The 24,759-nt window shown below is 51.8% G+C and overlaps 1 protein-coding gene across 3 annotated transcripts in view, besides 1 other annotated feature; it reads left to right on the forward strand.

Moving 5' to 3' along the window:
- PAX7 (paired box 7) overlaps window positions 1-24,759 on the forward strand; it is a 118,021-nt gene that overhangs the window by 40,735 nt on the left and 52,527 nt on the right. For all 3 annotated transcript variants that reach the window (NM_001135254.2, NM_002584.3, NM_013945.3), the window contains exon 5: window positions 20,174-20,373. In NM_001135254.2, coding sequence (NP_001128726.1) covers window positions 20,174-20,373 — 200 coding nt within the window. The remainder of the gene's footprint in view (window positions 1-20,173; window positions 20,374-24,759) is intronic.
- Window positions 20,287-20,786: an enhancer, noted in NCBI's record as "H3K4me1 hESC enhancer chr1:19018361-19018860 (GRCh37/hg19 assembly coordinates)". NCBI's record gives its function as "activates a minimal SCP1, AML or CMV promoter by ChIP-STARR-seq in primed H9 embryonic stem cells {active_cell/tissue: H9 hESC(primed)}" and the evidence as "EXISTENCE:reporter gene assay evidence [ECO:0000049][PMID:30033119]".

Genomic DNA, 24,759 nt, shown 5'->3' on the forward strand with positions numbered 1-24,759 from the left:
TCCCAGCATCTCGGAGGGCTCAGCAGGCCTGGATTCAAATCCTGAATCTTGGCCCTGCCTTATATCTTTGGGTTGGTGGCATAACCAGTACCTCCACTTTCTTCATTTTAAAATGGGAACAGGCCAGGCCTGGTGGTTCATACCTGTAACCCCAGTGCTTTGGGAGACTGAAGCAGGAGGATCACTCGAGGCCAGGAGCTGGCATAGCAAGACCCTAACTCTATAAAAAAAAAAAAAAATTAAAAAATGAGCCAGGCATGGTGGTGCCCACCTGTAGTCCTAGCTGCTTGGGAGGTCGAGGCAGGAGGATCACTTAAGCCCAGGAGTTAGAGGCTGCACTGAGCTATAATTGCATCACTGCACTTCAGCCTGGGTGACAGAACAAGACCCTGTCTCTTAAAAAAAAAAAAGTAAATAAATAACTAAATAAAATAGGAATAATAAAGTTCCTGTTGGTGTAGTTGTCAAGATGAAATGAGGGAATGTCTGAGCAGAGTATGGCACATACAGGGCACTCTGTGAGTGTTTGTTTCTGTCCCTCCTCATTCACCAAGGTGATCAGCCTGATGTCCAACCCTAACAGCTTCCTCATCCCACGCACCCTTGATAATACCCTTTACTTTCCAGAATCTCCCTTTGCCATCTCCTGTTCTTTCACCACTGCCCCTCTGAAACTAGCCACCAGGTCCCCTGGCATCCTGGTATTACAGATCTAGCTTAGCCTCTGAGACCACCAAGCCATCCCCTTCCCCCATCTCTTACAGAATACATAAGATTCTTATAATAAAATATCAACTTTTTTTTGTTTAGAAACATGTAACAGGAAATAAATGTCCTCAGGATTGTAAGGGTGCGCCATGCACCCACCCAGCAGAACCATGGCTGGCAGGAGGTGTGTGTCCTTCCATGTCAATTTCAGGAAACACGAGGTGCAGCATCTTCCCAGGATATGCATCCCTGTCTCAGATGCAGTGTCCCCTCCTGCCAAATGCGGCCCTAGACTGGAGAGCACTGTGTTTTTTTTTTTTTTTTTTTTTGTGAGACTAAGTCTCGCTCGCTCTGTCGCCCAGGCTGGAGTGCAATGGCGAGATCTGGGCTCACTGCAACCTCCGCCTCCCATGTTTAAGCAATTCTCCTGCCTCAGCCTCCCGAGTAGCTGGGATTATAAGCATGTACTACCACGCCCGGCTAATTTTTGTAGTTTTGGTAGAGAGGGGGGTTTCATCAGGTTGGCCAGGCTAGTCTTGAACTGACCTCAGGTGATCTGCCTGCCTCAGCCTCCGAAAATGCTGGGATGACAGGAGTGAGCCACTGCATCTGGCCAGAGCACTGGTATTTTATGAAGCCTCTATCGGGGCTATTTAGAGCAAGCACAGCACGGCGCTGATGCGGGGAAGAGGAGGTAAAAGATTGTGGATGCAGCAGCACTGGCACATGCAGAGCTGCAATTTCCAAGGCCTCCTCACTGCCCTCCCTTAGTGAAAGGGAGTTGGAGTGGCAAGGGGTCTGTAGCGTGGGTTCCGACTCCCGATGGGCCTGGGTTCAAGTCCTGACCCAGCCACATATAGCTGTGTGACCTTGGATAAATCACTGCCCCTCTCAGAGTCTCTTCTTTAGGACTGGTTTAATATTGATGCCTACCATCTCTGAGCGCTTGGAATGATGACAATTACGCATGCAAAGCTTAGTACCTGGCATAAGGCAAGAGCGTCATAGACACCCGTTACCACTGTTTTATCCCCATGGAGAAGACCACATGCTCTTCAGAACTAAGAAGCCCAATCCCACACGGTCAGCTCCTTAAGTGAACACATTTTTGTCCACTCCCAAATATCTAGAAGCATGACTTCGTGCCCTGTCAGAACCAGTGTGTTTTCAGATTGTACCACCCCCTGCTAGTTTAATGTAACTAACCTATGGTTGGCCACATTTTTGGAAAATAACATTGTTTATTTGATCAAGATTCAGTAAACTGGGCTCAGAGCAATAATTGTCCCAGGGTGCGAGTAACAGATTTTATTTTTATTGATCAAAAAAAAGTTTTTATCTAAAACACATCAAACTTTTAAAAGGCGTCAACAGCAGGATCAAATTGGATTTTAACTCCTTTAAAAAGTGGCTCCTTCAGGAACCCATTCCAAAGATGTCCGACCCTTTGCAGTGAGATACTCAAACCCCAGGGTGGATGAGGGATTCCACGGGCAAGGGAGGTTATTTTGGAGCCATAATGAAGACACTGCATTTGCATTTGGGGGCCCTCTGAGCAGCTGAGACATCTGGAAGCAGAAGGGGGAATTCGACGGAATATCTGTGTGTTGGTTTAGAGTGTCAGTCCTCGACCTCTTGGAACTGTTCAGCTGGCTAGCTGGGGCTTCCAGCGTGGGGCCAGGTGTCTGGTGTTGCATAAATACATCTCTAATGAAATTATTGTACAAAACAATCCTAACACACTCACCAACAATCACGTTGGCTTGAAGAGCAAACTATTTGGAACATTGCACCTTATTGCACAGATCTGGCCATATAGGAGGACGCAATTCTTTGACTCCTTCAACAAATGTCTGTTGAGCAATTACCATGGGCCAGGCCCTCTTCTGGGCATTGAGGATAAAGCAATGAATAAAACAGATAAAATCCTTATCTTCTTGGAGCGGAAACAGGGTTCCTCCAAATAATTCAAGAGGGGAGGCTGGAAGACAGCTCATGGAGGAGGTAGGTGTCCGGTGTGGTTCCTGACTTCAGTCTTTTAAAGGCCACTCTCCTGATACTATGACGGCTCTTTCTCCTTGCAAACACCAGTGACACACCTGATTGCTGAACACAAAGGAAAAGATGGTGAGGAGAAACGGGACTTAGGGAAAGAGCCAGGGTGGAGAAGAAGAGGTGAAAAGAGGTGAGTTCAGAGCCCGGAGCAGGCAGGGAGGCAGGCTTCCAGGCTGTGGTCTGTCAAGAATCTGATGGCACAGCCACCATGGCAAGTTGCAGGAGCAGGCACAGAGAAAGAAGTTCCTCCTCCAAGCTGGCCCCCTTGGCATCGTCTCCACCCTTCCCATGTGAAAAAGATCCAGGGCTTTGGAGCCACGAGGGGCTAGGGCATGGCACCGCTGTCTGTCCCCCTTTTTCCACTGTGCTGATGGGTGAGAGGGGTTGTGTGTTTCTCCCCAGGCTCTTGCTCCCTTTCACAGAGCAGCGTGGTCCTGTTTATTTGCTGATGCTGGTTTTCTCTGCATTTCTATAGAACAGTGGTTCTCAAATTGTGAACCACCCCCACCAACAGCAGTGGCAGCATCATCTGGGAACTTGCTGGGAATGAGACTTCCTAGGCTCCCTCATGGGGCCCAACAACCTGTGTTTCCAGAGGCCCTCTAGGTGATTCTGATGCTGCTAACACTTGACAGCTGGTCTAGAAGATGTTGGGGAGGTGGCTTGCTTTGCTTAAAATGCATTCATTGGCTTCGGTGTCTGCCCCACCTGGGTTTGGATGGAGACTTTGCTGCTTAGCATCTGAGCAAGTCTGCACCTCTTTTTGAGTGTTTGAAAGAGTCCTCTTCCCACGAGATGATTGTGAGGGTTCTATGAAAGGATGTAGTGCACGATGACTTCCTGGGACATAGTGGACCCTCAGCAGCCCCCTTCTTTCCTCTGTGGCTGCCTTACCTGACACACGCCCACCATGAAAAAAAGCCGAAAGTGTCCAATAGGCACGTGCCGATCGCCTTGGAAAAATCAACCTCACCAACTCTGACAGCAACAGAACCACAGCATCTTAGAATCACAGAATCTTAAGATGTTAGAACCAAAAAGGGAATATTTAGCCCCACCCAGCCTACCCAGTTTTTATGGGTGAAGGAACAGAGGCTCAGAGAGACCACCTACCTGGCCAAGGTGACATAGCATGTCAGGGCATCTCTCCTCTCCCCAGCCCAATTGCATGCCGGTGCTGTCCTGGGCTCTGGAGGTGGGGTAATTAATACATCAGATACAGCCCAGGACCCCTTCTCAGGCTGTCCCCCCAACCCCACCTGCTGTCCTGCTCTCTGAACAGCTTTGCAGAGACTCTTAGCCAGGAAGCCGAAATGAGCCCCCGGCTGCTTTTTGTAAACAGCTTTTGAAGTCTCATTTTCTGTCGCAGCTCTCATAACTAGCTCAGAACGGGGCTCATACCTGTGTTCGACCCCGATGTGTTGAGTGAATTCATATCTTGAAGGCATGGCTCTAAGTTCGAGTCTCTCTTTCACTTCTTCTCTTGGTGGTGTCTCGGGGGCCAGGAGTCCCGGCAGCGGGGAGATGCAGCAGGCCCCAGGGTCGCTCCCCTGATCAGGGCAGGTGACAGCCCTCACTTAGCCTCCCATCTGCCCACCAGCATCCCTGCACCAGGAGCTGGCTCCAAGCCGGGGTCCGCTCAGGACCAAGTTTTCCAGGGTTGGGGCATCTGCCTGACATAATACGTAACAGTAATTAAGAAATAAGCCACCTCGCCCAGCTTCACAGCAATCATTTGGCTAAGTAACTACCATGGTCCAGTGCCTCAAAAATCACCATTAGAGTACGCTCCTTATGGCCATAAAATTTCTCGTTTTCTGCCTTTCACCAGCCTCCCCCTGCCATCTTCGCCTTGCTTTATTTATACATTCGTCCTCAAACAATGGCAATAAACTCTTTCCCAGAGTGTTGCAAATCAGAAATTTGTCCACATTTTTCCACCACCTTCCACTGTGGACCTGCTCTGCCTGGGAACGGCCCATCCAGGCCAGCTGGAGAGGGCTGGGTTGCAGTAGATTGATGGGGGCACGACAGGTTGGGGTTGCTGGGGAGAGAGGGTGGGGAGGGGGGCAGCGGGAGAATGCACCATGAAAGGCCTCTCGCTGCCCAGCGACCAGCCGGAGACACAAGAGGCCCATGAGTGGCTGGGGGAGGGGAGGGGAGGGGAGGGGAAGTTGGGGGAGGAGAGGGGAAAGGAAGGATAAGTCTTCCCCACCCCCTTCTCCTAAGAGGAAAAGAGGGGGATTGGGGGATCCTGGGAGGCAGGGCAGGCCCCAGGCAGAATGGGAGGGTGATGAAATTGGTCCTTCCCCTCCCCCACAGGAAGCAGATGATCTCAGGGTGTCCTGTAGCTCATGCTGCACACGCAACTTAGGATCATAGTCCCTTCTGAAACTCCTCACCACCCCCACCAGTCAATGATCCTTTCTCCAGCAACAGGCATTGTTGAGAGCCAGCCCCGCTGTATGCCTGGCACTGTCCTGAACCCTGAAGGTGGAGTTTATCCATCAGATACAGCCCAGACCCCTTCTCAGGGGGCTGTTCTTTGAGATCCAGGAAGACCCCTTGGTTTTAGGGGTAGGGAAAATGCAGCTCAGAGAGGGGTTTAGAGGTGAAGTCAGGGACAAACTTCAGGGTTTCAACCCCAAGCCCCCTCGTCTTTACAGCCAGCCCACGGGCTCCTGGGGGATGCCCCTCTGGGCAAGGTGAAGAGTCCTCTCATCTAAATGGGGCATGCTAGCTGACTGTAGGTGATTTGGGGGACACTTCCGCCCTGACAACTCGTGTTTTAATCTGGCATTCCTGGAGGCAGTAGCAGGGGAAATAACCAAGTTGATGGCTTTGGTGTTGGTGTCTCCAGAGGGTGAAGTCTGTTTCATAGGGTGGGCTTCTCAGGTGGAGATCTTGTTTCTAAGGGGGGCGGCATGGCCTCCATTACAGCAACTGCCCCAGTGGTGGGGGTGTCAGGCTTATGTTTCCAGTGATCCTGCTTGACTTTCTCATCAGCACTCCAGGACCGGCGCACAGCAGACCCATCTTTCGGAGAGTGGGTCTCTTTCATGGTGGCATGATCCTGAGACCCCTAGTTCCTGTTGCAATGAACATTCACTGCTGTAGCTTTTGTTAGTGTGGTTTGTGAGGCACCAGTGGGTGCTTGGTGAACACCTGTTGGGCACATGCTTCTCTGTACACCTTGTTAGGTGCACAGAATGTTAGGTTTCAGAGTTTTCCTGGGAGGCCTATTTGAAGGAAGATAGAAATGTGGGGATAGACGGGAAGCTGGAAGCATAGAAATAACTCTGGAGGGAAAAGAAACTGGCACAGAGTCCTGGGAGAGAAGCTGTGACTCTGGGGAAGCTTAATCAGTTCTCCTTGCTGTGTGTGTAATGATGAGGGTCCGTGGCTTCTTTATTTAACTGATGGCTGCAGTTCCTTTAGACTGTGATTAAAAGCATTCTAGCCAGGCGCAGTGGCTCACGGCTGTAATCTCAGCACTTTGGGAGGCTGAGGTGGGCAGATCACAAAGTCAGGAGTTCAAGACCAGCCTGACCAATATGGTGCAACCCTGTCTCTACTAAGCATACAAAAATTAGCCGGGCGTGGTGGCATTCTCCTGTAGTCCCAGCTACTCCGGAGGCTGAGGCAGGAGAAATGCTTCAACCCAGGAGGTGGAGGTTACACTGAGCCAAGATCGTGCCACTGCACTCCAGCCTGGGTGACAGAGCGAGACTCCGTCTGAAAAAAAAAAAAAAAGAAAAAGAAAAGAAAGAAAGAAAAGAAGCATTTAGCCGGGCGCAGTGGCTCACGCCTGTAATCCCAGCACTTTGGGAGGCCGAAGCAGGTGGATTACCTGAGGTTGGGAATTCGTGACAAGCCTGACCAACATGGAGAAACCCTGTTTCTACTAAAAATACAAAATTAGCTGAGCATGGTGGTGCATGCCTACTCAAGAGGCTGAGACAGGAGAATCGCTTGAACCCAGGAGGCGGAGGTTGCAGTGAGCCGAGATTGTGCCATTGCACTCCAGCTTGGACAACAAGAGCAAAACTCTATCTCAAAAATAAAAAAAAAAGTGTTCTAGAATGATAGGAACTACAGAGCTGTTCTTAGTTACCCTGCCCTCGAGTAATGCCCGATATAAGAAAAAATAGAGTTTCCATCCTCGAGGAACTCCCTGTCTTATTGTAAAGGCACCATCTCTACCCTGAGCTGTCCTCAGTTTGATGGGGAGATGGACTTTCCACACATATCCACTAAAAGCTAATGATTAGTCTCCAGCAGGAGTTGATACCAAGGGCTGAGAAGATGGCACAGGCAGCAAGTGCCACAGGGATTCAAGCAGAGTTCTCTGGATGTGGTAGTCCTGGAGGGCTTCATGGATTATGTGGCCTTCATGTCTAGATTGGGAGGATGGTGGGGTTAGACAACAGGAACTAATTTGAAGCCATCATCCCAGGGCACAAGTCGGTATGGAGGCTGGAAGTGGCTCTGCAGGGTGGGCATGTTTGAGCCTGTGCAGGAGACCTGGCATGGCACGCTCAGAAGTGCCCATCGCGATGGTTAAGAGGGCTCTGGGACTGGCTGCCTGGCCGTCACGGTCACTCTGCCATTGAGTTACTTAACCCCTTTGAGCCTCAGTTTTCACACCTGTAAAATGGGGCTAATAGAAATACTGATGAGCATTGTAGTGAGGTGTTGTGATTTGCTACAGGAAAGGTGCTTCGTAAGGTCAAAGCACACCAGCAGCGGTTTGAACGCTTCTTCTCTGTGGCCTTCACACCCAGCCCCACTGGGGGATGCTGCATGGGTTCACAGAGCCCCATCTTCAGGGTAGAGTGAGCCCCAGGTTTAAGTCCTTCTTCATGGCTGAGCCCGGAAGCAGGGAGTTACATGGACAGAGGGACGAGGCCCAAAGCCATTTTCCATCTCCACCTCCAAACAACTTTCCAACTGGACACAGCCCCTGTGTCTCCCAGGGCTCCAGCACTGAGGAGGGGTGAGGGCGTGGGGAGGGGGAGAAGGAGGGTCCCGCAGGCTTGGCCTCTCAGGCATATGGTCCTTTCACAGCCGCTTTGTGGGGCGCGGATGGGTGGTCAGGCTGCCTTTTCCTTTCCATGCCGGGCAGCTTCATCTGGCCACTGGAGCCCCAGCTGCTGCTCTTTCCCCTCTGCTGATTTTGAGACCTCTCCTTAGGCCTCCCCTGCTCCAGCTTCCTGGGCGTCTGTCTTCCTCTGGCCCCTTAGTGCCTCTAGCATTTATGCTACAGCTGAATCACTTACCTGAGACCACCTGGCCCCCTCTTCTCTGTAGGTACGTTTTGCATCCAGGACAGATTTCTGGGAAAAGGATGGGATGGGATGGACGTGGGGTCTGTAGGCATGGCTTGGGGATCTGCAAAGCCTCCACCGTGGAAGAATAAGGAAAGGATGACAAAGGCATGTTCATTCATTCAGTCAGTTGTTCATTCATTCAGGCATTTGTTCATTCATTCATCCATGCATTCATTCCTTGCCTTTGTGTTTTGCGCCAGGCAACTGTGCTTGCCTCTGAGGGATACAGAAGTAAAATAGGTCCACACTACATGGAGGGGCCAATAATAACAATAGCAGCAATAATAATCGCTAACATGGATTGGGTGCTTACTGAGTACCTGGAACTGTTCTTGCCTTGCAGTAATTCCTTTCATCTTTGTGCATGACAACTCTGTGGGGTTGGTACTATTCTTGTCCTCATTTTACAGATGAGGAAATTGAGGCCCAGAGGGATGAAGTTACTTTCCTAGGTTAGTGGGGGGCTGGGACAGTTGTATCAAGGGTACCTCTGTCTGTGTATTTCTCAAGGTTCCCACCCCTGGAGCTGCATCAGTACCCTAGGGAATAGGCAGGATGGCAGCTCTTATTCCCAGGGGGATGGATAAGCAAATAGAGATTCCAAGAGGACAAGTGACAAGTGACATGCTCAGGGTCACACAGCAGGTCATGGATGAGCCCAGAGTGCCAACTCCCCACCTGCCAGGCTTCTGTTCTGAAGGAGAGGAGAGACTGGGTCTGGGATTGGTGGCTGGCAGGCTGGCCAGCCCAGGAGCGCCTGTCACACACAAGGCTGGGAGCTCAGCCTCCATCTAGTTTTCCTCACCTCCCCTCCTCCTTTCTGTCTCCCATCACTCTCACCATTTAGAAATAACAAGAACGAGGCTCAGGACTTAAACATACCCAGGAGTTATGGCTGGTAGGAGGCAGATTCCGAACTCAAACCCAGGTCCGTCTGACCTCACTGCCTCTACTCTTCTCACCTCTCCCCCAGTGCCAGCCCTTGCTACCTCCACCACACTTTGTAAGATAGGACCAAGCGGGCAAGCCCTTCAGGAGCAGCATAGTGACCTCTGCTCTGCCCAGCACAATCGTTGCTCTCCCTGCTGCTTAAATAACTTGGATGAGTAAATGATTGAAATAACCCATGAGAGAAGTGAATGAGAACTAGTGAGTAATTTCAAGATGGACTTAAAGTCACAGGAAGAGTGTAAAAGATTTTGAGCCGGGCGCGGTGGCTCACGCCTGTAATCCCAGCACTTTGGGAGGCTTTGGGAGGCTAAGGTGGGCAGATCACCTGAGCTCAGGAGTTCAAGACCAGCCTGACCAACATGGAGAAACCCACTCTCTACTAAAAATACAAAGTTAGCCAGGCATGGTGGCACATGCCTGTAATCCCAGCTACTCGGAAGGCTGAGGCAGGAGAATCGCTTGAACCTGGGAGGCGGAGGTTGCGGTGAGCTGAGATTGTACCATTGCACTCCAGCCTGGGCAACAAGAGCAAAACTCCGTAAAAAAAAAAAAAAAAAAAAAAAAAAAGATTTTGAGCTGAGCTCCTCATAGAGTGGGCCTGCCCCTGCCCCCAAGGTGCCCTCTTAAAATGTCCCACCTCATCCTCCTCACTAATTCACAGCTGCCACCCCTTCCAAAACTCCATATTAGCTGCACAGGACACCAGCATGTTAAAGAGACCAAGTTAGAAGGGTCCTCATGATATCTTCAACTTCAACCTCTTGCTTCATCTCCCATATGTGCTTTGTGCTTGGTTCACAGCTTGGCGCAGAAGAAAGAGCTCTGGGTCTGCCACGAGAATACAGGGCTCTGAATTCTGTCCATGCAACTACACAGTACCATTTCCAGCAGTACTACTTCCTTCTTCCTAGAAAGGCTCTTTCCTGGCAGGAATGTATACACAGTGCCCTCTAGTGTCTAAGGACAGTACCATGCTGCTAGCAGAGAGCCAGGATCAGAGAATGCCCCACTGCAGTTTCCCCTTGCATCAGATTTTGTGGTGCAAATCATCTACCTAGGGCTTAGAATTTATTTTATTTTATTTTATTTTATTTTATTTTATTTTATTTTATTTTATTTTATTTTATTTTTATTTTTATTTTTTGATACGGCGTTTCATTCTTGTTGCCCAGGCTGGAGTGCAATGGTGCAATCTCAGCTTACTGCAACCTCTGCCTCACGGGTTCAAGTGATTCTTCTGCCTCAGCTGGGATTACAGGCATGCACCAACATGTCTGGCTAATTTTGTATTTTTAGTAGAGACGGGTTTCACCATGTTGGTCAGGCTGGTCTCGAACTCCTGACCTCAGATGATCCACCCACCTTGGCCTCCCAAAGTGCTGGGATTACAGGTGTGGGCCACTATGTCCGGCCGGGCTTAGAATTTTAAAATCCGGCCTGGTGGGGTTCGATGGGAGCTCCCTGGAGAAAAAGTTTTGTCAAGTTTTGTGAACAAGGTGAGAGTCCAACTCTGGCTTTCCTAAAGACACTCTCCTCCCTCCCTCCTCTCCTTGAGTTGGGAGAGTGAAATTGAACCTGTGGGGGTCTCTCAGTCACTGGGAGAGAGTGTAGGATTTGGAGTCAGACAGAGCATATTTGGATCCTCACATTGCCAATGCTTCCTAGCCCCCAGGAGGCCTCTGGGGCAGCCAGAGGACCTGGCCATGGAGCCTGAGGCCTAGGTTCTGGTTAGGGGCCGGTGGGACCCTTCAGACATCAGCATGGAGGAGTCTTGCCCTTTGCCAGCTGTTGGGCCCCATGGAGGGGGAGGAGCCATGTTGCCCCCTTTCTAGAATCTCCTTCGAGAAGAAGCAAGAAGTGTTCTCCCTGGATCAATGCCAGCTCACCCTGTCTTCTTCCCAGTGGAGAACTGGGGATGGGAGGAGCAGCCTGAAGTGGGCGGGACTCCAGCCCTAGAAAACCCCACATTAGAATCCCACCCTGCCACCTTCTGGCAGTGGCCCTGGGCAAGTCCCTGAGACTCTGAGCTGCCACCCCCTCCTCTGGGGCCAGCAACTTGGTGGTTTAGCCTTGGTCCAAGGGCTGGAGATAATGGACTCCCCAGATGTGCTGTGGCCTTAAGACATTCTCGGCCCCTCCTGGGTCTGCCTGGGAAGGGGAGAGAGGAGGTGCTGCCGGGCTGTGGGGGCGGGGTAGGCAGGACCTAGGGAGTTGATGGAGAACCCATCTTTCAAGGACTGGTCTCAAGGGGAATATGCAGAGCCCCCTCCCTGCTCCTGTACCCTCACTCAATCCCCTTCTCCACCTGTCCCTGCACAGCTGCCCAGCTGCCTGGGTGGGGCAGGGCACCTGGCTGGGGTCCCTGCTCACCAGGACAGGGGAGTACCTGTGTGGGGGAAGTGGATGGGGGTCAGGAAAGTGGTCAGCTACAGCCAGAAACCAGAGCAGGGCCAACTGGTCAGGCGGTTGACTCAGTGGCTCTATCCAGGACCTGACCTCCCCTCCACCCATCTCCCCTGCACCCCCAGAGTAGGGCTGGGTTGATTTCACCTTTGAACTCCTAGATACTGGGACTGAGTGAGCACACAGACACATTTGAAATGAATCAAGCGTGGATAGTTTTGCTCTGTCTCAGCAATGAGAATGCAGCTATGGATACCTTAGACCCAGAGCACCGAGGAAGGCTTACCTGTCCCCGGCACTGTTGTTTTTCTAAATTTCGTTTTCTTTGAACATTCAGTTGTTACCAACCCAGCACTACTTTATGTGCCGTAAGATACCAAGTCATTTTATCATCCATTCATTCATGCAACAAATATTTGAGTGTCCACTTTGTGCTGAGCATTGGAGATTCGGCAACGAATCAATGAATTTGAATGAATTTGGACAGTCAATGCTCTTGACTATCCAAAGGACAGTCAAGAATGCCCATTGGCCGGGTGCGGTGGCTCATGCCTGTAATCCCAGCACTGTGGGAGGCTGAGGCGGATGGATCATCTGAGGTCAGGAGTTTGAGACCAGCCTGGCCAAAATGGCAAAACCTTGTCTCTGCTAAAAATACAAAAATTAGTCCGGCACGGTGGTCGGTGCCTCTAATCCCAGCTACTCGGGAGGCTAAGGCATGAGAATCACTTGAGCCTGGGAGGCGGATGTTGCAGTGAGCTGAGATCAAGCCACCGCACTCAAGTGTGGGCAACACAGGGAGACTGTCTCAAAAATAATAATAATAATAATACCCATCCTTGTGGAGTGTGCGGTGGGTGGTGGATGGGTGCTGGGGACAGATGACAAAACAGAATACATAGCACGTCTGTGATTGTGCTGAGGGAGGGTCGAGGGTTTCTCTGTTATTATCTGTGTTTTCACATGTGGGGGCCACAGAATCCAGCCAGACTGAGCCCGGAGTCTGTGCTCCTCAGTGCCCGCTCTTCCTGGCCTGACCCGCTGCAAACTGCAGGGGTTCACCAGGCCATGAGGAGGGTGGGACAGGGCATGGGCAGAGGGCACAGCCTTTGCAAAGCCCTGCCATTGCTGGGGAAGAAGGTGGTGGCTGGAGTCCAGGAAGAGATGGGGTGGGCGGATGCCAGGACAGGTTCCAAGCTAACAGGGACTCGGGATCTCCTGGCCTCAGTGCTGGGCCAGCTGCATGAGAGGCGTGAAGGGAGAGGAGGGGATGAAGGACAGTGCTGGCTGGGTATGGTGCCCAATGCTGAGATGAGCTCCCAAAAGGAGTGTGAGCAGAAGAGGTGGACTGTAATGGGACGCTTCATCCTCTCCTGGGCCCCCAAGGAGGTTTAACTTGGATTCCAAGCCCCTGCCTCTCAGTCTGCTCCTCCGTCGCCCTGTCCTTGTGTGCAATCTGACTCCCGCAGCCACGCCCGAGCCCCGTACACCGTGCGCTGGTTACAGCTGAGCAGTTCCCTCGGAGGAGCAGGGAGGGCCCTTGCCATGGTCCCGGCTTGCCGGGCCCCCAGCTGAGCTGTAAATGACTTTTCCATTTTCTGAGACCTGCGCCCAGGCCTGTTTGGTATTCAGAGACGCCTGGCCCACACTCGCCAGCTCTCAGCTCTGCCCGAATTACTTGATTAAAACGCATATCAACTATTATGTGATTCGTTTCTCTGCCGCAGCTCAACACCGGGGCCTATGTTAAACTGTAAGAAAAGCTGGGTTGGGAGGCTGCGGGAGAGGGGAGCGCAGAAGCAGGGGTGGGAGGGTTTCCGGAGGGTGTGAGGGAGGCTGAGAGAAGGACCCCAAACCTCAGGGCCACTGCCGGCCTCCACTGATCCGGGATGGGTGATTTAGAAATGGGTCAGCTCCTGGTCCTCTGTGAGCTGGGTAGATTCAGAGATTGTGGCCACCTTATTTCAAGGCTTTTCCTCTGGCAAAAGAGGGAGGAGGGAAAGGTTGGGGATGGAAGAGAAGCCACGTTGGTTTTCAGGACCAGAAATGGAATTTTCCATCACCCGGGAACTTGCTGTAGCCATATTGGCCTTCTCCGGGCTGGGAGTCCTGAGTCCTGGGTTTACTTTGCAGCCCCACTGCCCTGAGACTCCACTGAACATCTGTAGAATGGGGATAACACTGCCTGCCTTCCCCTCCCTTTATTGGGAGAAACTGTTGGGACAACAAAAGGGCTTGTAAACTGTAGAGTGTTGTGTGCAAGTTCGGGGGGTGACTGCTGCAGTGTGTCAGAGTTTAAGAGAGACTTTGCCAAGCTCTGTCAAGCTCTATTCATTCAAGAGGCCTTTATTGAGCACATGCTGTGTCCTAGGCATAGTCCCTGCCGCACTCAAGGATCTCCCAGACCAGTGAGACCCACAGACCCATAAACAGTCTAGTTCAGTGTCTCCTGATGAGCTTTGAGAACGCCAAGAAAGGGAACTGAAATCACCTTGGATGGGCCCAGGAAGCCTTGCTGGGGGAGGTGGCCCAAGAGCTGGATGGTGCTGGGTGAGCACTCCCAGGAAGAGGGAAGGCACTCTGAGCAGAGGAAGCTCATGTTCAAAGGCGTCAAAGCAAGACCCACCTGGCTCACTCACTCACAGAAGCCATGAGTGGCTGGACAGGGAACTGTATGGGATGGCAAGGTGAGTGGGGACACATGGGCAAGGCCCATAGTGGTTGAGGCCTTGCTGGCGTGGCTGAGGCTTCCTGGCACATGCTGGCAGTCAGTGATGGCTTCCAGAGGTCAGTAGCTGTGAAAGGAGGCTTTGAAGGGAGAGGCAAAGGCTGGGGGAGAGATGATGGGAGCTGCCCCCAGCAACCTTCCATCCATCACCATCACCATCACCATCACCATCACCATCACCACCATCACCTCAGCCTGGGCCGGACTTTGCCCGGCCAACTTGCTCCTGCCCACCCCAAAGCTTTGACAACGCAAATGGCTCCCAGCACCTTCCGCCCCTCATTCTGTCCTAAGGCTCTGCTGCTTTAACGAGCCACAAGCTGCCTTGATGTTTTACGTCTGTCCTGTGCCCCGGTTCATCTGGCAGTGTTTCCTCCACTGGACTGGAAAATCCCCAGGACAAGGTGATACCTCCTCCATCTGACTGGGAGCTTCCTAAAACAGAGGCTGTTTCTCCCCCATGAGATTGGGAGGTCTCTCAGGTAGGAGCTGCAATTCTCCTTTGCTCAGTATGGACTGCTCCACATCCCTGACTAGAGACAGGATCCAGGAACTCAGAGAAAGCATCTCTCCCTGTATCCTTCTCTTTTGGGGCAATCTCCAGACCAGCACCCCCTGGGACCATCCCATTCCTTAGCTGTTTGATAGTGCGAGGGCAGGAGCCCAGGCTGGCCATGAGGCTGCTCCCCTACTGCGTACCCCGAATCTGGCTGCCGTTTAATGAATGCGTTCCCATGTTCACTCCCCCCACGTCCCCCTCCTCGAACCAGCTGCCCAGGCTTCACCAAGGTACCTGCTTTTGGTACACAGAAGACTCAGCCCCAACCAGCAGGGCCTCTGTGGCCAATTCCACCTAATCCTGTTGATTAATTTAACTCTGAGGCTAAAGGATTTCCAGGGGTGGGGAGAGAGAAGGGCACCCCAAGAGAGTGGGGGTGCAGGAAGCTGAAGTGAGGTTGATGTGGTGGCATTGGGGCTCTTTGTGTCTTCTCACACTGCTTTGACCCTGTACTCCCCGCCCCGTTTCCTTTTCTGTCATCACCACCGTCATTGTCCTCATCATCAACAATAGTAATAGCCTTCATGGGTCCTTGAAGTTGCAAATTACTCCTATCATCTTTATTTTATTTTATTATTATTATTATTATTTTTTGAGACAGAGTCTTGCTCTGTTGCCCTGGGGGACATGCAGTGGCGTGATCTCAGCTCACTGCAACCTCCACCTCCCAGATAGAAGTGATTCTCCTGCCTCAGCCTCTCAAGTAGCTGGGATTACAGGCGCATACCACCATGCCCAGCTAATTTTTGTATTTTTAGTAGAGACGGGGTTTCACCATGTTGCCCAGGGTGGTCTTGAACTCCTGACCTCAGGTGATCCACCCGCCTCAGCCTCCCAAAGTGCTGGGATTATAGACATGAGCCACCACACCAGGCCCCATCATCTTTATCTCATTCCATTCTCAAAGCCATCCAGGGAGGGAGGCATACAAGGGTGTATTGTTATCTTCATTTTTATAGCGGAGAAAACCAAGGTCCTGAGAAGGGGAGCGACTTGTCCAAGACCACACAGCTAGGGAAAGACAGAGCCCACAAGCCAGGTCTCAGGCTGCCGAGACCAGGATTCCTGATTAGACCGGGGCTGTCCCAGAGGACCCTCAAACTCCTTCCCAATCTGTCCCTTCCCGCCAATCCCTCTCCAGGGCTCACTGGCTGTGTGTCCTCCATCCAAGTGACTGAACCTCTCTGAGCCTCGGTATACCTATTTGTAAAAGAGTCAATAGTCCCTGCTTCACAGACCTATGAAGGCTGGCACAGAGGTTTCTAAAATGGGGGTCTCTTCCCCTGAGCTTGGCCAAGGCGGGTAGTGGATGCTCTTTTTTAGGGGTTGAAGTCACAAACAAACTGCAGTTCTGTTCTCTTGAGATCTCTCTGGATCTCGGTGGGCAGTGAGACAGAGCTCTGCCCTCCCCACTCAGTGTCCAGAGGGTTGTTATGGCAACCTCCAACATCCAAGAGGATCATGCCAGATCCTTTCGGACAAGAGAGATCTGTGGGCCCTGCTTGGCCTTCCCCAGTCTGGGCTTCGGTCTGGGCATCTCTCTGGATCCACGGAGTTCCCCAGATCCCTGCAGAATAAGGAGTGGGAGGGACAAGGAGACAGGAAGGAATTAGACCCAGAACTCCATGGTGAGTCTAGAAAGCTGCAGGTGACTTGCAGGACCCAGGGATCAGCTGAAGCATGGGAGGGCACTGGGGCCCGGGGCTTGGCAGAAGCACTTGAATTTTATCTCTCAGTGGCATAAAGCAAATGTTGGTCCTTTGCTAACTGCAGTCATGATTTTGGTCACAACTCTATATCTTGTCCTATTATTTCCTTAATATTTTACTATATCTAAAAGCACCTTTAAAAAACTAATTCAAGGATACTAATGCTCTTATAAATGGAAAATGAGTATCATTTCCTGTAAATAGATGGGAACCATAAAAACCATAAATAGCATAAAAACAAGGAACGTTGTTAAATTCTACCTAGAGACTAGCACACGGGAAGTTGTGAGCGTGGGGCCTGCCCTCTCTTTGTTAAGAAGAGACAACAACTGTGTTAATGACTGTATCGGATTGTGCTGGCCTCAGTGGTGGCCACCAGCCACGTGTGACTATGCAAATTTGAATTACAATTAAATACAATGAAAGACGAAGTTCTTCAGTTGCAGTAGGGAAGTTTCAGGTGCTCAAAACCCCATGTAGCTAGTACTGCCACATTGAACACTGCGAATCTAGAACGTTTCCGTCATCGCAGAAACTTCTATTGGACAGCACTGCTCTAGAACTGAATGGAGACTCAGTCAGATTAGTATTTCCAGGCCAGGCATGGTGGCTCATGCCTGTAATCCCAGCAATTTGGGAGGCCGAAGCAGGCGGATCACCTGAGGTCAGGAGTTCAAGACCAGAGTTCGAGACTAGCCTGGCCAACATGGCAAAACCCTGTCTCTACTAGAAATACAAAAATTAGCTGGCCATGGTGGTGTGTGCCTGTAGTCCCAGCTACTCGGGAGGGTGAGGCACGACAACCATTTGAACCCGGGAGATGGAGGCTGCAGTGAGCAGAGATGGCGCCACTGCACTCTAGCCTGGGCGACAGAACAAAACTCCATCTCAAAAATATAAAAATAAAAAATAAATAAGAAAGACTAGGATTTCCCCCAGGACAAGGCTGTGCCTCCTCCATCAGACTGGGGCTTTCTGAGGGTAGGGCCTGTGTCTGCCCTCATCTCTGACCTCACAGCTCTGAGGACAGTCTCTGCCCAGAGACTGCACTCCCTACAACTCTAGTCCCCATCCGCCTCAGCTCCTGTCTGAGCTCAAGTGTCCTCACTGGAGAACTGAATCTGGTGCCCCACTCCCCATCCACGGGCTGGCCTCGCTGCCTGCCAGACAAATGCCTGCTTCCTTCTTCTGAAGCCCCAAGGGCTGGCTTCCGTTGTCACCGTCAGAACACTGAGGTTATGCACTGCATTTCAGGAATTGAATCCTTGGCATTAGTTGTATTTGGCTCTGAGCCCCAGAAATGGTGGGGAAGGGGCCCCAGGATGGCAGCTGTGCCCACTGTGGTCTCCCCACAGTGACTGGGGGGCTGGGTAACTGGAAGCCCTGGCAGGAAAGGCCAGGGCAGAGCCCTGGCAGGAAAAGCAAGGGCAGGGGTTAGATCTGACTCCAGGTCTCTGCCCTTGGGGATGAGCCAGGCCATGATGAAGGCAGGACTCCCTTGCAATCCATTCCTTCGCTGTGTGGCATGGCGTCACCATCAGAGACCACCTGGCACTGGCCAAAAAAAAAGCAAGGATAACTTTCCAACGGACAAGATAGCAGGATGGAAGGAAGTGGGCCCAGGGCAGAGAGGCATTGCCAAGATGGATGACCCTCCAGGCGCATGACCTCTCACACATCCGGGCCATACCCACCAGCTTCCTGGCTATGAATGTGGCACCATGATTAAATTACCCAGCATGCCTTTTGACACACCAGGCGTTTGCATGTGCTCTCCTGTCTGCCTGCAGTGCCCTTCCCTTCACCTCCACTTAACATGTAAGGCAGTACTAGTTTCTCTTTTTGTTTTTGTTGCGGGGAGGAGGGGGTTGCCCCTTGGGGGAGGGGCCTAGGCCTATTCCTATAATTAACACTTGAAGCGATTGGGAGGAAGGGATCTTTGTATTGGTGGAAGGGGTCAGGGGCGGGGAGCACAGTTTGAGTGAACCTCACGTTACCTTTCTGGGACTCAGCTTCTCCCATCTCTGATGCGAGCACAAGGTCTCCCAAGATCTTCTAGCTTGACTCAGGCTGAATGCTCCAAGCCCAGGGCTCAGGTCCTACCTTGCCCACTGCATACCTAGCCTCTTCAGGTGCATAGCAGATACTCAATAAATGCTTTAGGGGAAGGAGTGAATGAGTCAATGACAAAAAATAAAAGTGCTTCCAGGAATACCAGAGATGGAGAAGGAGAGGAAGGGGGAGAAAGAAATGAAGGCAAAAGAGAAAAAGGAGGAAGAGGAGTGGGGAGGAAGGAAGGTAGCCTCTGAGTGTCTGCTCTCTTTTCCATCTTCCTTTCTGCTTCCTCTTCTCTATGCTTCCCGCAGCTCCCCAGGGGCTGCTGAGGGGCAGCTTCAGCGCCCCGGCTGGGAGATGCCCTGCTAGCATCCCCTCTGTTGGGTCAGACGTGGGCAGGAGCCACAGGATTGATGGGGACAGGGAGCTGATACCTGGGTGTCTCAGCCCCAACAGCTAAGGAGGCTGAGCAGGGGCTTCCTGCAGCCTCCCTAGCTTGGGCCCAGGGCTGAAGCAGATTCCTGGCCTGATAACCCCAACCAGGCCTGGGAAGTGAGCTGACTCCAACCTTCTGGGCTCTCCAGGCCCAGGCCCAGGAAGCAACAGGCCTTCACCCACCCCCAGTCTCCATGGTGGAAATTAGTGGGGATAATGGGGTGGGGTCCATGGCCTTGACCAAGGTCATTCAGGTGAGGTCTCCTCTAGCCTGGGGGAATCACTCAGAGACCCTGGGACATCCCAGAGAGAGCTTGTCAGTGGAAGTCGCCTAATCCAAACCCTTCATGTCACAAATGGGGAAAGTGAGGCCCGAGGAGGGGAGGTGGCCTTCCCAGGGTCACCAGCATTTAGGAGCAGAGCCAGGCCTGGAATCTAAGCTTCTTGATGGGCAGCTCTGGACACGTGCACTTTTTCTTTTGATGAGACAGGGTCTTGCTCTGTTGTCCAGGCTGAAGTGTGGTGGTGTGATTGGCTTACTATAACCTGGAACTCCAGGGCTCAAGCGATTCTCCCACCTCAGCCTCTTGAGTATCTGGGACTACAGGCATGCACTTCCACACTCAGCTAATTTTCTTACTTTTTTCTGGAGGTTGGTTCTTACTGTGTTGTCCAGGCTGGTCTTGAACTCCTGGGCTCAAGCAATCCTCCTGCCTCAGCCTCCCAAAATGCTGGGATTACAGGCATGAGCCACCATACATGGAGGCCTTTTTCTTAAAGTCAGGATTATTGAGGTATAGTTAATATACAGTAAAATTCTGTCCTTTTAACTGAGAATACAGCTCTACGGATTTTGTCAAGTGTATCTCACCACGAAACCATCCCTTGAGTCTTATGTCATGGACATCCTTGCATGTCAGTGGAAATAAACAAAATGCCCAACCAGAGGGGACTGTTTTGTTGTTGTTTGTTTGTTTGTTTTTCCCTAAAGGGAAAGGTTTTACAAGAAAGTATTTAAGCAATACTCTAGGGTTGGGCATGGAGGTTGCTTCCCATCCTTCACATTGATAAACAATGCTAGGGTGAGCATCCTTCTATCTTGTGCTTGGGAGGAGTCTGATCGAAGTGCAGTCATGGGTCCTAGGTGGGCACGAGTGTGCCTTGTGCTCTCCTCCCAGACCCCGGCACCCTTCCATCTCTCTAAGCCCCTGCCTTCTCCCTCCCTCTCCTCCGGCTGTAGGGAACCGGCTGGACGAGGGCTCGGATGTGGAGTCGGAACCTGACCTCCCACTGAAGCGCAAGCAGCGACGCAGTCGGACCACATTCACGGCCGAGCAGCTGGAGGAGCTGGAGAAGGCCTTTGAGAGGACCCACTACCCAGACATATACACCCGCGAGGAGCTGGCGCAGAGGACCAAGCTGACAGAGGCGCGTGTGCAGGTGAGGAGGCACCTGCGGTGTCGGTGCTGCAGATATACTCCAGAGATTCAGAAGTTTGGGATGGCCAAGGTCAGTGGGTTTAATGGGACCCCTCGGGGGGTTTACAACAGGTTCAGGGGGTTGTGTAGGCAAGTAATGCCACCAGCATTTGATGCAGAGTTAGTTGGCAGCAAATGTTGGTTGACTGAGAGCTGGACAGCCCAAGGAGGAGGGAAGAATGAAGGGAGAGATAGAGGGAAGGGGGGAAGAAAAGGAAGAAGGTGGAAGGGAAAGAAGGACAAAAGAAGGAATGAAAGAAGGGAGGGAGGCCAGGTGTGGTGGCTCACACCTGAAATCCCAGCACTTCGGGAGGCCGAGGTGGGCGGATCACATGAGGTCAGCAGTTCAAGACCTGCCTGGCCAACATGGTGAAACCCCATCTCTACTAAAAACACAAAAATTAGCTGGGCTTGGTGACGGGCACCCGTAATCCCAGCTACTCGGGAGGCTGAGGCAGGAGAGTCACTTGAACGTGGGAGGCGGAGGTTGCAGTGAGCCAAGATTGCGCCACTGTACTCCAGCCTGGGTGACAGAGCGAGACTCCATCTCACAAAAAGAAAGAAAGAAAGAAGGGAGGGAGGGAGGGCATTAGTTCAGCCAGAAGAGAGGGTTTGGGGAGTATAAGAATCTCCAAATCTCTGATGAGCAGAGGAAGTGATCAGGAGGAAGATTTCCAAACAAGCCTAGCTTCCTCAGATGGATGATGAGTGTTCTGTTACCGGAAGCATGCACGTAGGCTGGGTAGGCCAGTTCCTGGCAGGTTAGATGCCTCAGGGCAGGGTGGGCAGCCCCCAAAGACCCTGAACATCCCCTCCATGGCCTCAATATATGGGAAGGAAGAGGGGAGAAGAGCAAGAGCCTCCCAATGGCTCGAGGACTGCCCCGCCTGCTCTCTGTCAGTGGGTTGAGGGGCAAAGGCCTGCTGTAGGGGGCCTGGGGACATTGCCTCACCTCCCCAGGCCAAACTCTCGGATTCCAGGAGGCCTACAGTTGTTCTCCAAGTGCAGGAGCCTCTCTGGGGATCTGGCTGGAAAGGGCTGAGGCTGGAGGGTTGGGGATGGAGGAGGAAGAGCCGGGACAAGTCGTGATGAACGGCTCTTGTGGGAATCCATTCCCTGGCTGTCTTCTGCATGGATTGGGAGGCATAGAGAGAGGGGAAAGATCCCCATTACCAGAATCTAAGCAGTGCTCAGGGAGTCAGAGCGGCCTGCAGAGGGGCCACCCCAAACTGCTGACGGCGGGCACTTCCATCCAAGAGGAGCCAGCCTTTGCCCGGCACCCACTTGGTGCCAGTGGCATTGCTGGGGCTGCTTCTCAAACGTGACCTAGTGGAAGCTCAGACCACCTTGTCGGGTCAGCGTGGTCACCCCCTGCAAGCCACGGGTGCAGAAACTGGAAGTTCAGAGAAGCAACATGCCCAGGGGCACAAGCTGGATGGGGGCTGAGCCAGGCCCAGCTGCTGGCAAAAACCACGTCCTTTCCATCCAGGGAAATGAACAAGCTGAGTCACAAGCTGAAATTTGAAAGCAACTGGGACAATCCTAGAAGCAAGGGACGTTTCAGCACTCCAGGACCCAGCGGACACCCCTCCGCCCCCTGTCCTCACTCCCAGATTAGGGGTCCTTCGCTTCCTTTGAGGGAGACCCCAAGGGGAAAGAGGCGGGAGGCAGCAGCCAGCTCATCTCTTTCCCTCCCCTCCTGACCGAGGTGATATCCGAGCTGGCTCCAGGCCTCCCTCCCGCTCTGATCCTCCTGCAGCTGTTCTCCTGGGCACATTCCTGGGCGCTTTCTCGTTCCCACGTCTGGCGGCCACGGCGGCTTCCCACCACCTTGAAGCCTGACTGCTCCTTGTAAAATTTCCTGGCTGTCAGAGCAGTGCTTTTATTGGCCCAGGGGACTCAGAAACAGGTGTCACTCAAGGTCCACGGAGGGAGGGGGTCTGGGAATGGAGAGGCAGCCGGAGCCCAGGCAAAGCCATCCTGAGGGGGCGGGGCCCGCCTCCTGCGTCTTATTGACTTCCTATCATACTCTGGGCTTCCCCAGTGCATGGAGCTCCCTCTAGGGCAGGGCAGGGACTCCCCATTAGACCAGAATCTCTCCCAGGGCAGGGCTGGATCTCCCCATTTAGCCTGAGAGCTTTCTCAGAGAAGAGGGAACAAAAAACGTTTGAGTTTTTAAAGAATAAACGGACTGGTGCGGTGGTTCACTCCTGTAATCCCAGCCCTTTGGGAGGCCGAGGCAGGTGGATCACCTGAGGTCGGGAGTTTGAGACCAGCCTGACCAACATAGAAACCCTGTCTCTACTAAAAATACAAAATTAGCCGGGCATGCTAGCGCATGCCTGTAATCCCAGCTACTCGGGAGACTGAGGCAGGAGAATCGCTTGAACTCGGTAGGTGGAGGTTGCAGTGAGCCGAGATCATGCCATTGCACTCCAGCCTGTGCAGCAAGAGCAAAACTCTGTCTCGAAAATAAATAAATAAATAAATAAATAAATAAATAAATAAATAAATAAATATAAAATAAAATAAATCAAGAACATTTAGCCTGGAGAAGTGGAGACTTGAAAGATACAGCTGCTCTGAGCATCCCCAAAGGGTTAACCCAGGGCCAGGGTCAAGAGAGGAGCATCTAAAGTCCAACATGAAGGTCTCCAGGAAAGAGCTCAGGACTGAGAGCTCAGGGTTCCTGCCTTTGGTCAGCTGTGTCACCTTCAACAGGTCAATTTCCTTTCCTGAGACTTCGTTTCCTGTCTGCAAATAAGGGGATGGAACTCAACAATTACTAAGACCCTTACATTTCTGGGATCCCTATTTACTGACAATCAGGGATGCTTTGTGAGGTGATGAGATTCCCATTACCAGAAGTGTTCAAACAAAAGCACAATGTCCAGTCAATCAGGGACCCTGAGGTCTTTGAGTTATGACCTCAAAGCCCCCTGAGTACTGCTTACATTGTATGGCTTCATACATTTTAGGTCTTGGTCTTTGATTCTAAAGGTCTGTGGTTCTGGGATTTTCCAATCGTATAATATCTCATCTCAGTGGACCTGGCAGATGGGTGGGTTAGTGGATTGGTTCAGGGTAGGCTTGGAGCCAAATACCTAGATGTGGATTCCAGCTCCATGTCTTACCCTTTCCACCCTCCACCCATCTCTCACAGGCAAGATGATGATAATGATGTCTACCTTGCTCTGAGGATTAAATGATTACATGTAAAAAAAAAAAGAAAAAAAAAGAGGAAGTACCTGCACACAGAAGTGCCATAAATGGGGGTTGTTCTTACTAAAACTCTGCCCGTTCTTGGCAGCTCCAATTCTAGCCACCTTTGCAGCTCCAGGTACATTCACCCAGCAGTCATTTACAGAGTACTTGCTGTGTGCCAGGCGCTGTTCTAGGCATTGGGGATTCACTGGGCAAAAAGCTCTGCTGTCTTGAAGCTGGCATTCTCATAAATACGTGCACAGGTAAACATGATGTCAGGTGGGGATCTGGTCACCAAAGAGTGGCCTGTTATCCCCTCTGGCTCCCTCAAGCTCTGCCTTCCTGCAGGGGCCAGGAGCCTCTGCTTGAAGCCTGCTAGATGTTACCAGTGCCTGTAACACCTCTGCCTCAGCCAGGAGAAAGCCAGAGCCACATGAAGGGCAGCCAAGGGGGTGTCAGGCAGGAGAACCCATGCCTGGGGACCCATGACTCCTTTCTCTGGAGTGATACATATATCTTCCTTAGAGGTGAACAGACCCATTTTTTCCTGGGTGCCACAACCCTGAGCCTGTGAATTTCTTCTAGAAATAGAGGCTGCAGGGCTAATAGGTCCCAAGGTCACCCCATGGCCTCTCCCATGACTGCCTCTGATGACTTCCCCATCCTTCAGATGATCAGCACCAGGAAACTAGGGCAGTGTACAACGCCTCTTTACTTTACCGTCCTTGGAACCCTGCTCTGTGCTTGGGGTAGGGGTGGGATGTTCTGAACGGAAATCCCATTGTGGAAGCACTACAGAGATTCACTAATTAACAACTTACACTGAATCTCTTAATAACACTAGGTAGCATTCATGGTGCATTTCTTTTCTTTTTTTTTTTTTTTTTTTGAGACAGAGTTTCACTCATCGCCCAGGCTGGAGTGCAATGGCGCAGTCTCAGCTCACTGCAACCTCCGCCTCCCGGTTTCAAACGATTCTCCTGCCTCAGCCTCCCGAGTAGCTGGGATTACAGGTGCCCACCACCATGCCTGGCTAATTTTTTGTATTTTTAATAGAGACAGGGTTTTGCCATGTTGGCCAGGCTGGTCTTGAACTCCTGACCTCAGGTGATCTGCTGGTCTTGGCCTCCCAAAGTGCTGGGAT

Source organism: Homo sapiens, chromosome 1, assembly GCF_000001405.40.
Source record: "Homo sapiens chromosome 1, GRCh38.p14 Primary Assembly".
Taxonomy (NCBI): Eukaryota; Metazoa; Chordata; class Mammalia; order Primates; family Hominidae; genus Homo; species Homo sapiens.